The sequence below is a fragment of the Homo sapiens genome, chromosome 14 (genome assembly GCF_000001405.40).
Source record: "Homo sapiens chromosome 14, GRCh38.p14 Primary Assembly".
Taxonomy (NCBI): domain Eukaryota; kingdom Metazoa; phylum Chordata; class Mammalia; order Primates; family Hominidae; genus Homo; species Homo sapiens.
This window is the reverse complement of record NC_000014.9, coordinates 34,089,611-34,106,010: the sequence shown is the minus strand read 5'-3', so window position 1 is coordinate 34,106,010 and position 16,400 is coordinate 34,089,611. Positions and strand designations below refer to the sequence as shown.

At 44.1% G+C, this 16,400-nt stretch overlaps 2 long non-coding RNA genes across 3 annotated transcripts in view; both read left to right on the top strand.

The window, feature by feature from the left end:
- Window positions 1-16,400, top strand: part of LOC102724945 (uncharacterized) — a 244,858-nt gene that overhangs the window by 97,718 nt on the left and 130,740 nt on the right. The window contains exon 5 of the long non-coding RNA XR_001750942.2: window positions 13,609-13,690. This is a non-coding gene — a long non-coding RNA (uncharacterized LOC102724945). The remainder of the gene's footprint in view (window positions 1-13,608; window positions 13,691-16,400) is intronic.
- LOC105370444 (uncharacterized) lies at window positions 6,979-10,170 on the top strand. Of its 2 annotated transcripts, none has more exons than XR_001750945.1 (2): window positions 6,979-7,507; window positions 9,596-10,170. It is a non-coding gene; the product is annotated as an uncharacterized LOC105370444 (long non-coding RNA). The 2 variants fall into 2 exon arrangements; XR_943735.2 differs by having other exon boundaries at window positions 6,979-7,629.

The window sequence follows — 16,400 nt, the reverse complement described above, 5'->3', positions numbered from 1 at the left end:
TGAAAATGCAGGGCTCCTTATTTTAAAGAAATTAAGAATTTCAAGACAACAACAGAACAAGGGTCTCTGTGTGGCTCACAGTTCCCATGCTCATGAAGGCAGTCCTGGCTCTGATCTTAAATAAGAAGTGGGATAAGAGAAGTTCCCTAATTCTCTCTGGCATAGTTTACAGTGTGTGCCAAATACTCGTGGGGAAGAGGTGATGTTTCACTGAGGGCCCAGGGATGCCTTCTTCCAGCTCCTGGTGAAGAGGAGAGAGAGAAGCCCGAAGTGAATGACTGGGTTACCTTCAAGATCCTTTCTGTTCCTCAGAGTCTGTAACTTAAAAGCCCTTATCCTGAAGGGACTCTAATTCTAAGATGCTGTGCTTTTCTTCCCTACTCTTCACAAACTGAGAACTGCAGCTTTACCACTTATTAACTATCGTGACCTAGGGCTGGTGACTTGTTGTCTCTGTGCCTCAGTTTCCTCATTTGTAAAATGGAGGTAATAGTACTTAACTCATGGAGCGGTTGTGAGGATTGAACTAAACAACTCATGTAAAGTGCTCAGTAGCGTCCAGGTGCATGGTCAGCTTTCAGTAAAGAGTGATCATTATTGCTATTATTGTGATAAACCCTTGCTTTTGGAAAAGCTTGTATATGAGAAAAAGGCCCTGGGGTGACAATTCGGTTGAAGGCATATGCTACCCCAATAGACCTTTCCTAATTCTTTTTTCTCCAGCTTACCTCCTCTTAAATGTAGAATCTTTTGAATATGATGAAAGTCCACACACTAACAAAGCCACTGCTGCCAGCAAGGTCACCCAAGGAGAAGCAGCCTTGTCCTCTGGGCGTGCAGAATTGCATGCATTTATGCAGACACTCTAGAGGCTTGTACGGCTGTGCTGAACCTCCATGTAGGTTTGTCTCACTGCCTCATTCCAATCCAGGCAGAGGGAGTCTGTTAAATTCACAACTCAGCTTAGAAGGGTCATCAGGATTCATTTGTTGGAATTGCTGGTGACATCTGAAGCTTTCATAGAAGAGCTTGTTCTTTCCAGAAGAGTATAGAGTTCCTGTCAGTTACTGCTTCCTCCTCTGGCCTCACAGAATAAGGCTGGGGGCGAGCCAGGTCAGTGCAGTATTTTAGGGCAGTAGGCCATCTCTTTATGTGGAACCTTTCTAATATCCACACTCTGGACTGAAAGACTCCCTTAGACCTGGAAAAGCCCCTCTCCCACTCCTCAAACGTTTACTGCATGTGAAAGTGTAGCTCAGCCCCTATCCTTGGTGCTCTCTGTGGGTCTGGCTTCTCTGCCTCCAGATGGTTCAGGCTGCAGTCTGGAATGTTCTATTTCAGCAAACGGAGCATGTTGTTACATTATCTGCACTTTTGCTTTCATCTTGGGGTGGATGACTGAGTATGGACTTGGAGGTTTTGCGCCATAGATTTGTAGTAATAAAAAGAAAACTGACCTTCGTGGAGCAGTTTCTGGGCTCCTGGCACTGTACTAAGGTGGCTGTTATTTATTCTTAGAAGGTGGAAATTATTATCCCATTTTTTTGTAGATGAAGAAACAGAGGTTGTTTTAATATATTGCCCAAGTGCACATAGCTGATAAGTGGCAAAACCAGCATTTAGGAGAAACAACTAAGAATAAATATCAGGATAGTGCCAGGGACATGGGTAGAGAAGGCCTGATAGAATCCTGTAACACAAGGACTAAGGGAAGGTGTAAAGACCAGCTCTCTAAAAACCTGGAAGTAAGAACAGCCAAGCCAGATACATCTCCCGCAACATGTCGTTGAGGCATCCTGGTAAATGGGGTGGGAACTGCCCCAGCATGGATGGCTCCTGTGTCCCCCTGGGAAGCAGCACATGAGCTGGTGGAGAGTCCTTGGGCAGGTGTGTGTTGCAGCAGACCTGACCATGCCACTTGGAAACAAGGTTCATGCTGCTTTACAAGAGGCCTCCAGACTCACTCCAGACCTCTCCCATTAATGGGGATGGTGTCCCATAGCTCCTGATGTCCTGTATGGTGGGTGGGTTGGACTAGGGAGCTGATAGGGCTGCTCCAGGTAGGATTCCTTAGCAATGAGCTGCTTAGGTCTACAAACACAGGGACTCACACTTGTATTTCAATGCTTCATGGTTATCCCAGGGTAGGGATGAGCTTGGTAGAGGGCAGGAACATCAGTGGGACTTAAGGGTGACAGCCAGCCACCTATCCCTGACCTTCTTTATTACGACAATTCTCTTTGATATACACCATTCATACTACCAGGTAGCTCATATTGTAAGTTTTAATTTCACTTTTATTTGTGTGATTCTTGATTACTGTCTATATCTTCCAATCCATGTCTGCTTTTACTCATCATTGATTCCCAGTACCTCATACACTGCCTGCCACCTATAGTGGGTATTCAAATAAGTATTTTTTAATTGATTAATTAATGAATGAAAAGAAGTTCTGGAAGTGTGAGAAATTGAAAAAGTGCTTCGGAAGTAGTTGAGTGCTGCCTTTCCTGACTCTGCTGATTAAGTATGTGACAGATACCACAATTATCAGCATTCCAGATAAGAATCCAGAGAATGCTATCTTTGGCAGTGTCAGAAATGCAAGCTTTGTTCCTCTTCACTTGCTGGGAATGCATTAGTCTTTGGATGAAAGGAGGCGTTGGGGCAGTCAATATGCCCTTTGGCTCTGGCTCGGGATTTATCAGTCACAGTTCCCCCATTGAAAGCATGAGGGTCATCAGGGACTAGCCAAAGTAAGAAAAATAGAACTTCAATCTCTGCATGGGGATCTCAGGTCAAGGCAAAAATCTCGGAGAGGCTGAGAGCAAAAAGATCTGTATGATTTGAGGGGATCAGAAAGCCCAGCTTGACCCCAACTACTCTCTTATTAGCCTGCTTGGAGGGTTGGAAATTATTGTGTTTAGGAATTTCTCTTTGGGTTAAGGTTTTGATTCTTGAAAAACTCTATAATAAAACATTTTCCTGGGTAAAGTGCTGCTTTTACCCAGTTCCCACCCCATTTACCAGGATGCCTCAATGACATGTTGTGGGAGATGTATCTGGCTCGGCTATTCTTACTTCCATGTGTGAAGTCATTACCATGAGCATGGTAGCATGAATTATTTTGATAAATTAACCAGTTGTGCTGAGTAGAGGCATTCCAAAGGCCAGAAGGAAAGTGACAGGTGAAGTTGAATGGGTATTGGGGTGTGGGAGTTTGACAGCAGATGGGAGTTGGAAGGAGAGATTTTGAGAAGGGTGGTCTCGTGGAGTATTCCTGTGGTGGTAAGCAGGAACTTGGTATAGAAATGTTGCCAGGGCCCTGGCAAATATCCGAGTATGCTTAAGTTGGATATTTTGAGGGGAGTTTAATAAAGAGACTGCTATAACCGTGTGATCGGGCTTAGAGAAATCACACCAAGGACAGTATAGTACTTTGGACTAGCACTAGCATGGTTCTGCCATGCCCCAGGCTGGATGGAGCAAGGAGGGACAGCAATTACTAGAATCTGCAGAGGTTAGCTGCAGGCGAGGCTACTTACAAGGCACAGTGGATTAAAGATAGTTTGAAGTTCTTTGATATTCCTTTGAGATTGAGGTCTGTGTTCTCCTGCCTTGAATCAGAGGGGCCTCGTGACTACTTTGATCAACAGAATGTGACAGACATGATGTTCTAGTTTGTAGGCCCAGGCCTTCAGAGATTGGCAGCTTCCATTTCCTTTCTTGGAAGCTTCCATTTTCTTTCTTCTTAGAAGACCACTTGCTCTTGGATACAACCACCTTGCTGAGAGGAAACCTTTTGAGCCTCAAGGAGAAGCCTACCTGGAGGAGAACTGAAGGCCTCTGCTGACAGCCTTGACAGAGCTCCCAGTTGATGCTGGTTGCAGTCATCATCAACTGGCTAGCCATGTGCATAAGCCATCTCAGATGTGGATTCTCCAGCTCCAATCAAGCTGCCACATGGAGCAGAGATGAGTCACTCCACCAAACCCTGCCCAAAGAGTAGGTTCATCCGTAAAATAAGTGATCATTGTTGTTTTAAACTGTTAAGTACTGGAGGTAGTTTGTTGCCTACCAATGGATGCTGGAATACAGGAGTTGTGGCCTCAGTAAAGGGACACAGATAACCTATACTGTGGCGAGAAGGAAGCCAGGAGGACAAACAGCCTGGCCCCTCTCTCCTCCTGCCTACTTATTTACTACTAGTGACCTCCATTGGATGAACCCAACCAAAGCCAGCGGACAAGGAAGCTGTTGATGTTGTCCTTATAGGCCAGCCCCCTGGGACATGCCAGGTTGGAGAAATGTGAAGGGGCGATCTGGAGGGATGAATGGAAGACATGGAATAAGCACCAGGCACTTTGAAGCTGGTCTCATGGAGTTGAACCCAGTTGATAAAGTTCAACTGCCCAACTGCCCAATAGAGCAAGAACAAAAAATTTCTAAGACAAAGGCCAGAGCCTATTTTACAAGGACTCCGGGTACGTGATCAATAAGGCAGAAAGGAGAAAAATTTACCAAAGCCATTACTTAAAGAAGTAAGCTCTCAGATGGGATAATGCCCTGTGAATGCCAGCCGTGGGCCATGAACTCCCCAATTTCCTGAGCAGTCAGTCTGTTGGGGGGTCTGGGGGCCTGATACACAGTGGAAGATCACCCTCTGCCTTTATGGCCCATAAAACAAATACTTATACTTCTAAGGAAATTGGAGTAATCTAGCTAAGGAAAAGGGACTCTTTCCTGGGGCTAGAAGCTCCAGATAGACAAACCTAGGTGACCTGGGCAGAATCAAGACTGCTGTTGCCTTGCTTGTCAGAGGCTGGTGGCAATGAATCCACTAGCACCTGAAGGGATCCATGGAACAGGGGAACAGTGGCAGAGAGGGAGAAGCCCCTTCAATCTGCTTCTAGGAGAGCAGGCAGGCTGCTCGCTGGGCTCTGGGGCCAGTCACAAAGCCAGAGTAGTGTCCCCAATGTCCAGTAGGAATTTTGTCAAATCTAGTGAGAGAGCTTTCGAAAACTGCCCTGTTAAAGGGAGGTGATAGAGAGTACCATGATTACAGCTGGGATTCAGGGGTCCAGCTGCGTGGATTCAAATTCTGGCTCTGCCTCTTGCCAGCTGTATAATTTTGTTTAATTCCTCTATGACTTAGTTTTCTTATCAGTAAAATGGTGATAATAATAGTGCATATTAGGTGCAGCTTTTAAGGATACATGAGCTTATACTACATACCTAGAGAAACAGCAGGATGAAGTGTCTAAGAGCACAGGCTCTGGAGCCAGATGGCCAGGGTTTGAATCCTGGCTCCACCACTTACTGTGTGCATGATGTAGGGCAAGTTATTTAGTTTCTCTGTCTCATTGTCCTCTTTCATGGGAATAATAGCATACTTCCTTCATTTTGGTCATCACAAAGATTAGTGAGTCAATCTATGTAAAGGGTTTAGAATGGCACCGATATTTAGCAAGCACTCTGTTAGCTGTGATTAGCACAAGGCCTTGTACATCTTGGTGTGATTGTGTGGCATATAATAATCAGGCAATAACATTTTCCTTCTGCTGGAAGCGGAGACAAGAGGGGGAAACTCATATGCTTGTGACAGAGCTCTGCCCAGTTCATATTCAACACATCTCAGAACTGCCCTGTCTCTTGGTTGATGACACTGTGGGTAGTGAAGTTTGGTCCATTCCCACAGGTGTGATCACATTGGTGTCCGTTTTGCGCTCTGCCCCAATCACACCTTAGCTTCTAGGCTGCCTACCAAAGACATTGTCTCCCCAGTGGCGCTCTCAGACCCAGCCTGGCAGCACACTGCCATTGTTGGGTGACTGATGGCCCACGGGAAATGGGGCTTCCCTTCTGCCCTGGGGCCTGGCTGTGAAAGCAAGCACAAGAAAAATGGTATCAATAAAGAAGGCTGCTCCTGGTAGACAGTGCCTCTTTTTTTCCAACTAAATGATACACCTAAGGCATAAACCACAGAGTCTGAAATCTGAGCCAACCTGGTTGTCTTTTCAGCTTCTGGAACCCACTTGGGACATTGCTACTCCCCCGTGCCTCAAGGGTACCCTTCCTTAAGACCTTGTCCTACAAAGGCCTCATCGTGATTTGCCTGTTGGAGCTTGGCTTGCTCTGATAGACAAAGTGCAGGAGTGGGGTGTGGCTGAGCCGCAGCAGCTGCAGGGAGATCTTTCAGAGAACTGTGGGCAGGACAGAGAACTCCGATCCTGGCCCTGGCACTGGCAGGCTGGGTGAAGTCTCTAGTGCTTAACCCCCTTAGTCCTCTTTTTGCAAAATGAAGGCAACATCAACAGACTTCGGGGAGTCTCCTGAGACTAAATCCTTAAAGAGGGAGTTAGGGAAAAGCAGGTGGTAGTGTTCACTGTGTTGACAGAGCAATCATGCTCATCAGAACCTGTGGTTTTAGGGCCTGGGGGCCATGGAAAGAGCAAGGGGTGGCTTCATCCTCAGGTGGATAGTTCTCCTTCCTGGGGCCTCTCTTCCTTCCTCTCTCCCTTGCTATCCCCTAACCTGTCCCAGTGCTTCTTTAGAGACCAGGAAGATTCTCAGGAATGGTTGCCCCTTGGGCCAGTGTTAGAGCAGGAATCTAGAAGGAAGGTCATGTGTTAGGCCTGCAAAATTTACCCTTCTCCCCAGATGCTTCCATTCCTCTTTACCTCACTGCCCTCCCTTAGATTTTTATTTGGCCTAACTTAGGTCATTTTTTTTAACCAAAAAAAAAATGGGGGGCTATTGGCATAGTTCTACCTCAGCAACTATCCAGGGAGCCTGGCCTGGTCCAGGCATGCAGTGGGTTTTCCTTCAGAAATGAGTCCTTTGAGAGCCCAGAGAAGGGCAGCCCTGAGCCTGTTCACTCAGCCTGACCTGGAAAAACTGCAACCCACTGAGACACTCTGTTTCTCAGTTCTGTCCTTTCTAGAAGGTACCATTCCTCCTGAAAGGTCAAAGTGACTGTTCAGTCTCAATCTATCATGTGATGAAAGGTGTGGTACCAACTACAGCAAATAAACTTACAATTTCCAACATCCAACCAAAGAGGCTGACTACAAAATAAAGCTATTCCTACGAAACTGCAATTTTTGCAGGTCAAATTTTCAGCCAGCCACCAGAGGGTGCCCGTAGAGCTCTCTAAAAATGACCAAAACCTGAAGAATTAGAGGAGAAAGAAAATTTCCAGTGCATGGAAGACCAGGACAAAATACAGCTTACCCCCACGTGACTTGAACAGATACACAGGCCAGACAAGGAGCTGTGAGGCTGTCGACAACAAGAACCAGGGTGGGAGTAACCCCAGATTTTACCTAGATATGAGCTAAACAAGTTGCTTCTTGATTTCACATTGGCAATTGCGATAGTACTTTGAGGACTGGCCCAGAAAGCATTTTCATCCCCTGGCAAAACTCTTCCCCATCAGCTTCCCAACCATGTGTACAAAGGAAATGCAAATACATGTGAATAGTAGCCTGAGTCAAAGTCTTCTTGGAAGGTAAGGCTGCTTGCGACTGCTGCTGCTTTGAAAAAGAAAAATCCTACAATGCAAGTGAAAGGACAGATTTTCTGAGCCACTGCTTCTGCACCAGGGTGAGGGTTCAGAAGGACGAAATACAGGTACCATGGTTCTCTGAAGAGATGGTCTTGTGTGGAGCACACCTGGCATGAAAGGATGGGGACAGCTTCTACCCTCTCCCCAGCAGGGCCCGACAAGCAGGCTGTGTGGCATTCCTGTATTTCCAGGGCTGGCACAGTGGCTGACACACAGTAGCTGCCTGTAAATGTTTGTTGAATGAGTGAATAAATGACTAGGAAGGGAGCTGGAGTGGGTGTGACACTGTCTGGGCTGGCTGGAGCTTTCACCAGGTTGAGGGATGACAGGGAAAGGGGTAGGTGGGTGTGGGAGGGTAATTTCCCAGTGAGGAGAGATTCTGTGTTTCATCTGGGTTGCCTGTCTGAGGCCTTTTCTGTGGGCAACGAAGGCCCTAAGACAGAGTGTGTGGACTCTGCCCTAATGATAGTCAAACCGCCCAATGGTCCCATTCATTCACGTATTTGTCTACTAATTGACAGCTATTGAGTACCTAATGGGAACCGTGGCCTTCATCCCTCATCCCTACGCAGGCGACCCCAGACTGTCTTAGCCACCTTCGTGAGCTGGGGATGGGAATGCCGGAGGAAGTGAGCACATGGCTAATACTGGGCAGGGGCTTTGGCTGTCTGGAAATGCAGCCAGCAGGGAGCTGGACTGAGGCACCGGTTGCTGGCAATTGGGCCATTTGTCTCTCTGGACAAGTGCAAGCAATAAGTGTGTATGTGCTCTGTGTGTGTGAGACTATGCAGGTGTGAGTGTGGGTTGCAATAATGTTTCACCTTTGCCTGAGGGTCTACCATTTCACAACCCTTTGGCAGCACCCAGCCTCCCTTGCTGTGCCTACAAGGGAGAGAAGAGGTGATTAATATTTAAATTTGGAAATAGCTGTAGTTTGGAGACAGACATTATCATTCTAATTCACCATTGGAGAAATTATTATGTCCATGCTTTGCAGAGTATAATGTAGCCTCTATACTTGCTCCCTTCCTAATTTTTCTCCCTTGGGGCTGCTTTAATGACATCTTTGGGGGGATTACAGCCTTCAGATGAACCAAGGGGCATGTCTGACTTGGAAGAAAGAGAATGGGTTTAGGAATCTTCTTGTTTCTCTCCTCCCCTGCCCATGGCTAAGTCTGTCCTTCTGATACTATAATGAGCATCTTTTCCCCATCAGACTGAGAAGTGTAGTTTCTTGAGCTATAACCCTTTTAGTTTGCAAATCTCACACTGGTGAGGTGCTGATGATCGCTGGGCCCACTCTGAGTAGTGGCCCAGCAGGATTCCCCACACTCTGTGAGCTGTTTGATGGCATAGATTATGTATCCACCTAGTCCTTTTAAATTTCTGATCTCCAACAGGTCTTGGCACAGTCCTGTGTACTGGGCAAGGTTAGACACAAGTGAGAGACTACTAGGAAAGAGCTTCAATAAACCAGCTATAGCTAAAGCAAAGGAAAATGTTCTGGAAAAGCTAAGCAGGCTCCCGAAGAAGCTTCCACTGGATTTTCCCATCAGATTGCTTTTGTCATAAGATCTTCTCTGGGGAAAAAATCCATTTTTTTTTTTAAAGGGAAGGAAAGAAAACCCATACCTAGAGGCAAAAGATGGCCCAATGACATCTTTGCCTGAGCTCTCTGTCAAGGAGAATCTTAGTGGAAGCCATAAGATTATGGAGTTTAGACATCAACAGAGAGAGTGTGGGTCAGGGAGGAGCTTACCTTAGACACACTCAGCATGGACCAAGGGGAGTTGTGTGGATCTGTGAGTGCCATTTTATCAAATACATAGAGATAACCTCTTTGCTGTTTATAAGAGCGAACTAATGGGAAGAAGCCAGCTTTAAAATTACCATTTTGTCAAGAAAGAATAGAGCAAGCACTATAAACATTTACCGTTTTTTTTTTTTTTGGTCTGTTTAGTAGATAAAATTCTATAAGACTCAACTACTTGTTATTAAACAAACTTATCTTGAGTATCTCCTATGTCTCAGGCACCAAGACCTGTACTCGTTGGAGACTATGATGGACAACACAACATGAATTTCTTGCCCTCAGGTGGTTTACAATCTAGAGAGGGAGGCAGACAAATGACCAGATGACATCCGAGAGACCAAGCTTTGCCTGCCCTCCTGTGGCCTTGGCTGGGGGATCCTCCTGTGGCCCATGGAAGGGGCATTTCTCTGAACTGAAGGACTCCACCTCTCCTATGCTATAACTGGCCAGGGATGGGCCTGCAGTGGCTGATCAGAGGTTCAGCCCTTGGTAATTCAAGCCAATCCAGTTTCTTGCCTTAAAATTTGTAATTGACATGCTGACAGATGAAGTTAGTTACAGGTGGTGAGTGAGCTTCAAGTTTATGGAGACTTGGGACTGAAGCCACTTGATGAGCCACGTATTCCCAGAGAGTGTGTAAAAGCAAAAGAAGCAACCAGAAGAGAGGATGAGAGAGGGGAAGGGGGCAGACTTGGAGAGTCAGCTCCCCTTGATGGCAACAACTCCCCTTGCTCCTTATCTTTGTGTCCTGTGAGATTACCATTCTTTAAAATAAATCCCTCTCTTCCTGCGACAAGTAGACTGAATTTGTTTTTCTTACAAGCAAAAGTTCTGTTTTTAATTCAAAATGTTAGAGAACAATGTGCAGTCAGCCTTTCTATCTACAGGTTCTGCATCCACAGATTTAGCCAGCCTAGGATTGAAACTGTAGTTAGGCCTGTAATGGTTGTGTCTGTAGTGAACATGTGCAGACTTTTTTCTTGTCATTATTCCCTAAACAATACAGAATAACAACTATTTACATTGCATTTACATTGTACCAGGTATTGTATGCAATCTGGAGATGATTTAAAGTGTACAGGAGGATGTGCATAGATTATATGCAAATACTATGGCATTTTATATCAGGGACTTGAGCATCCATAGATTTTGGTATTTGTGGGGGTCCTGGAAGTAAGCTCCCACAGATACTGAGGGTTGACTGTATTAGTTTCCCAGGACTGCTGTAATAAGTTACCATAAATGTGGTGGCTTAAGACGATAGAAATATGTTCTCTCACAGTTCTGGAGACAAGAATCCAAACTTAAGGTGTCAGGAGGGTTGATTCTCTCTGAGGTTGTGAAGAGAAACTGTTCTATGCCTGTCTCCTAGCTTTCTGGTGGCTCTCAGCAATCCTAATGTTCCTTGCCTTATAGACACATTCTTCAATCTCTCGTTCCCTCTTCACATAGCCTTTCTTCACATGTCTCTGTATTTTCCTTTTCTGTTTCTTTTTTTCTTTTTTTTTTTTTTGAGATGGAGTCTCACTCTGTCGCCCAGGCTGGAGTGCAGTGGCCTGATCTCAGCTCACTGCAAGCTCCGCCTCCCGGGTGCAAGCTCCGCCTCCCAGGTTCGCGCCATTCTCCTGCCTCAGCCTCCCGAGTAGCTGGGACTACAGGCTACAGGCGCCCGCCACCGCGCCCGGCTAATTTTTTGTATTTTTAGTAGAGACAGGGTTTCACTGTGTTAGCCAGGATGGTCTCCATCTCCTGACCTCGTGATCCACCCGCCTCGGCCCCACAAAGTGCCAGGATTACAGGCGTGAGCCGCTGTGCCCAGCCCTTTTCTGTTTCTTATGAGGAACGCTTATCATTGCAGTTAGGGCCCATCCTAATCCAGGATGAGCTCATCTAGAAATCCTTACCTTAATTACATCTATAAAGACCCTTGTTCCAAATAAGGTCACATTCTGAGGTTCTGGGAAGACATATCTTTTAGGGAGATACCATTCAACCCACAATAAACAAGGCACCAATGTGTTCATTGCTGGGTTACTCAGTTGGTGGATCATACATGACTTAAACAAGCAACAAAGCAGAGGCACTCATGGAGGAAGTGGGGAGAGAGAGGTATTTTTTTTAAAAGAATTTGATATTAAAATAAAATTGAAGTTCTTATAGGAAAACTTATGATTTAGGATTGTTTTAATTTTACTGAAGTGGAAGAGTAACACCATACTGTTCTCTGTATCTGGGGTCTCCAAAGCTGTTAATATCCTTAGTGAATTTTAAATAGTTGAGTGTCATCAGAAGGTAGAATGTAGAAGAGTAGAAGAGTCATTTTCCCTGTTGGTGGTGGTTTGTTTTGTTTTGTGTCTTGCAATTATTGAGGCCACAGGTGACCGTAGCAGGAACAACCACTATGTTATCAACATAAGTGGTAGAGGATTAAATGGAGACGAAGAAGATTTTAAGTGTAGATTACTTTCGCAAGAAGCTCAATTGTGAGATGAAAGGAAGATTTCAGGGTCTCTGAAATGTGGTCTGTGACCACAGAAAATTGACTGGTGTTTGTGACAAATCTGGTGTTTGTGACTAAATGCTACAATTAACTCTAACTGCTGTCAGAACCTCTCAGGGATGGCATCCACTGATGATGTCTCTTAACCAGTACAAACTGAGGTTCTTAGCCAGGCTGGAAGCCCCTGACCCTGGTACCATCATGCCCTGAGTAAAACAGCACCTTACCCCATGTTAATCCTATAGCTTGACATACGAGAAACTTACAGTAACCTGAGCATGCCATGCCAATGCCCTCTTGGTCCCTTGTACAAGCTATTTCCCCTGCCTGGGATGTCCTTCCCCCTTGTTTACCTACTCATCTGTCAAAGCTCACCTAGAATATTCCCCATTTGTTCTACCCTCCTTCAGGAAGTTGCTCGTTCTTTAGATCCCCATAGCACTCTTATAAGTATGTAACACTCATCACTGTACTATGGAATTCCTTAATTTTCTGCTTCTCCTATTACCTCATTGAAATCAGGATCCCCATTTTTCCTTCTTCTAGTCCTCAGCTCCTTGCACAGTATTGGGCAGATGGTAGGAGTTCAATAAACATTTATTAAATAAGTGAATTTGCAGTGAATACATTCAGATACTCAATACATATTAAGGGGCACACTTGGATGTCTAACAAAAGAAACCAGCCAGGAGGAGGAATGAGAGAGGGAAACTGGGCAGACTCATTATCAGCATCCATCAGCCCCCTCCATTACTACTGGAATCCAGGTTTTCAGCAATATCCACTCGCTTCCAAGCAGCCATGTGCTTAGGGGAAACTTACCCTTCCCCAGCCCAAGGGTGGATCTGATTGATCTAAGAGCAATCATATTTCCTTGCCAGTGATTGATTCAAGAATGGGCATGTCACCCAATTCTGGCCCACAAGACATGGGAGACTTCTGAGAAATGTTTTCTTGCTCCTAAGAAATGAAAAAATGCTTTTTACTATAGTTTGGATACTTGTCCCCACCAAATCTCATGCTGAAATGTAATCCCCAGAGTGACAGTGTCGGAAGGTGAGGGGCCTAATGGGAGGTGTGTGGGTCATGGGAGCAGATACCTCATAAATAGATTAATGCCCTCCTGGGGTAGCGGTAGGTCGGGGGTGGGGTGAGTTCTCACTCGATTAGATCCCAGGGTTGCTCATGGTTAAAAAGAGCCTGGCACTGGCCAGGCGCGGTGGCTCACGCCTGTAATCCCAGCACTTTGGGAGGCTGAGGCGGGTGGATCACGAGGTCAGGAGATCGAGACCATCCTGGCTAACACAGTGAAACCCCATCTCTACTAAGAATACAAGAAATTAGCCGGGCGCGGTGGCAGGCACCTGTAGCCCCAGCTACTCGGGAGGCTGAGGCAGGAGAATGGTGTGAACCCAGGAGGCGGAGCTTGCAGTGAGCCGAGATCGCGCCACTGCACTCTAGCCTGGGCGACAGAGCAAAACTCTGTCTCAAAAAAAAAAAAAAAAAAAAAAAAAACAGAGCCTGGCACCTCCTGCCCCCTCACTTGCTTCCTCTCTTGCTGTGTGATCTCTGCACAAGCCAGGTCCCCTTTGGCTTTTGCCATGAGTGGAAGCAGCCTTAGGCCCTCATAATCAGGAGCCAAAAAAACCTTTTTTATTTATAAATTACCCAGCCTCAGGCATTCCTTTATAGTAATACAAAACAGACCTGACACTTTCTCTTCTTCCTCAGGGTGTTGTTATGTCCAAAGCCATCTTGCCATGCGCAGCCTGAGAATGGAGCCAATGACTGAGGGTGGCAGAGCAGAAAGATGGTAAGAGTCTGAATCTGTAATAACTGGGCTGGCCACTGAACCTGTCTACCCAACCCTCTTCCCCTTGGGGATTACAGTTATCCCCATCAATGAATTTTTAAAAATTGTTTAAGGGTATTTGAATCTGGTTTCTATGACTTGAAGCCAAAAGCATTCTAGCTAAAATAATTTGCCATGTAGTAAATGTTTATTAAACCTTTTAAGTAAACATTTATTAATGTTTATTAAACATAACTTGATTTTAAAGTTGTGGTCTTAGAAATGAATAAGCATGTCCCTTGTGAGTCTGTCATGCAATGGGATCTGGAAAAGGGAAATACAGTATTCTTATGGTCATCTCCTTATAAGCCCACACTTATTTTGTTTATTTGACCCTACCACTCCGATAGTACAGGCTACACTTATTTTCCTGGAAGATTAAGAAAAATTTGGCGGTGAGCTATGCAAGGGGAAGTAAACAAAGTCACGAGACACAGACAGAAAACTTCATTTCCATTCAATCTCTGACCCCAAGAAAAAGTCACTTTGGGGAGATACATAAAGTTTTAAAAATTAAAGTGCAATTAATTGTAGTTAAGTTTTAAAAAATTAAATCTGGGTTCCGCTGGCACATGAATAGAGCAATGAAATGGAATAGGAAATCAAGAAGTAGACCCAAATACATACAGGGATTTAGCATATGATAAAAAAAAAAACACCTCATTTCAAATCAGTGGGGGAAAACTGGAGTTTTTATTAATGGCGTCTGGACAACAGGGTAGTCAGCTATAACAGTAAATAAATGTTAAAAGTTAGAGCTATACCTCACACCTTGCCAAATAAATCTCAGATGGGTGGGTCAGAGATTTTACAAACATGTGAAACCATAAAATATGAAAGAAATCATAAAAGATTTTTTGTTGTAATTTATAGCTTAAAAAACCTTTTAAAACATGACACAAATTACAGGAGTCATAAAATAAAGACTGAAAAATTCAGCTGTGCTTTAAAAAATATCTGCATGCAAAAATGACAATAGCAAGTCAAAAGTCAATGGACAAGTTGAGAAACATATTTGCAACTCACTGGTACACAATGAATCCTAGTTAGTAAGGAAAAGATGAAGAAACCAATAGAAAAATGAGCAAAGGACATTATATCAGGTGATATAGGTGGGCAATTTGGCAATATTTATTGAAATTACAAATATACATACTCATTGATTCAACAATTTTATTTCTAGAGATTACTTATAATACTTAAATATTCATAATGCTTAATAGCAATTATATTAAATTACAGACACACTCTTATGCATGGAAATCATTTATGAATAAGGTTAATCATTGCAGCATTGTTTGTAGTACCAAAAAATTGGAAGTAATGTAAATGATCATCAATGGAAGAGTAGTTAGACAAATGATCCCATTTGTCTAATGTAATGAATTACTAGTCATAAAAAAAAAGATTGAGGGAAAAGATTGAAGAGTTCTTTTTATAGTGAAATGATGTGGCATCATCTCCAAAATACATTAAGTAAAAAAAGCAAGGTACAGAAGAGAATAGTGAGTTACTATTTGTGTAAACAGAAGATCATGGGTGGTGTCTTATACAAATTCACTTGGATATTTCTGCAAGAAAAAGTAGTCAGTCAGTGACACTGATGCCCTCAGAGGGGAAACAGGGTGGCTGGTGCCTGTGGGTAGGAGGGAGGTTTCACTCTATATAATTGTATACCTTTTGAATTATGAACTATGTGAATGTATTACCTATTCCAGTTCCAAAATGAATACATTACCTTTTAAAAGGTATTTTGAAACCAAGAAAGAGAAATAGAAAACCCTCAACACTTTACAAATGAAAACTAAAGGTGAGGAACTGCAAATCTGATTCAACAAATGCAGCCCCCATATCTAATATGATTAGGGCCTAACATCCCCACAAACATCTTCAGCCTTTCTACCAACCTCAGGTAGACTAGGATTTGATTTGTCAACCTTAACCCCTCCCTGCCACTTCCCGTTCCTCCTGCTTTAAGGTCAGGTCTGTCTGCCTGGGATTTGCCTTTGGGCTCTGTCATCCTCACACCCTGCATTGATGACCTGCAGCGGAGCACCAAGCCGAGGGCATCCTACATTGCTCTGCTAAGCACAACTCATGGGCGTGATTGTTTGTCTGAAGGATGCAAAGGTAGTTGAGATGTTTAATGTCGAATTATTAGACTAAGGTTGAAGAAAATGAAGCAGATCAAGGTAGGAGGTTTTTACCTGTAGGTATCATAATGAGATGGTAAGAAGAAAAGATAATAAATCATAGAGAGCAGGAGAACCAACAACTTGCCACACTTCGACTGGATTTTTCTCTTCTTGGAGCTCTGTAGTTGATGCCTTATTAACATCAGAGGGGATTTGATGACTTGTCATATTCAGTCCTGACTACTGAAATGAAAAGGATAGAAAATGAAAAGTATGGAAAATGAAAATCAATTGCATTCTTTAATTTTAGTCATTCCATTCCTGGAGCATATTGAATACTACTTTGGGCTCTTTCATTGTTCAGGTTATTAATAACAAAGAGCCAAAGTATTTCACATTCCTAAAGAGTCTTTCATCTCAAAGGAGCCAATGTAATTCACTAATTCAGTTACCTGAACTACATTTGGTAATTATTTGAGGATCACTTCACCCAGGGGTGAATTTCGACGAGTTGTGTGACACAGCTGACAGTCGCT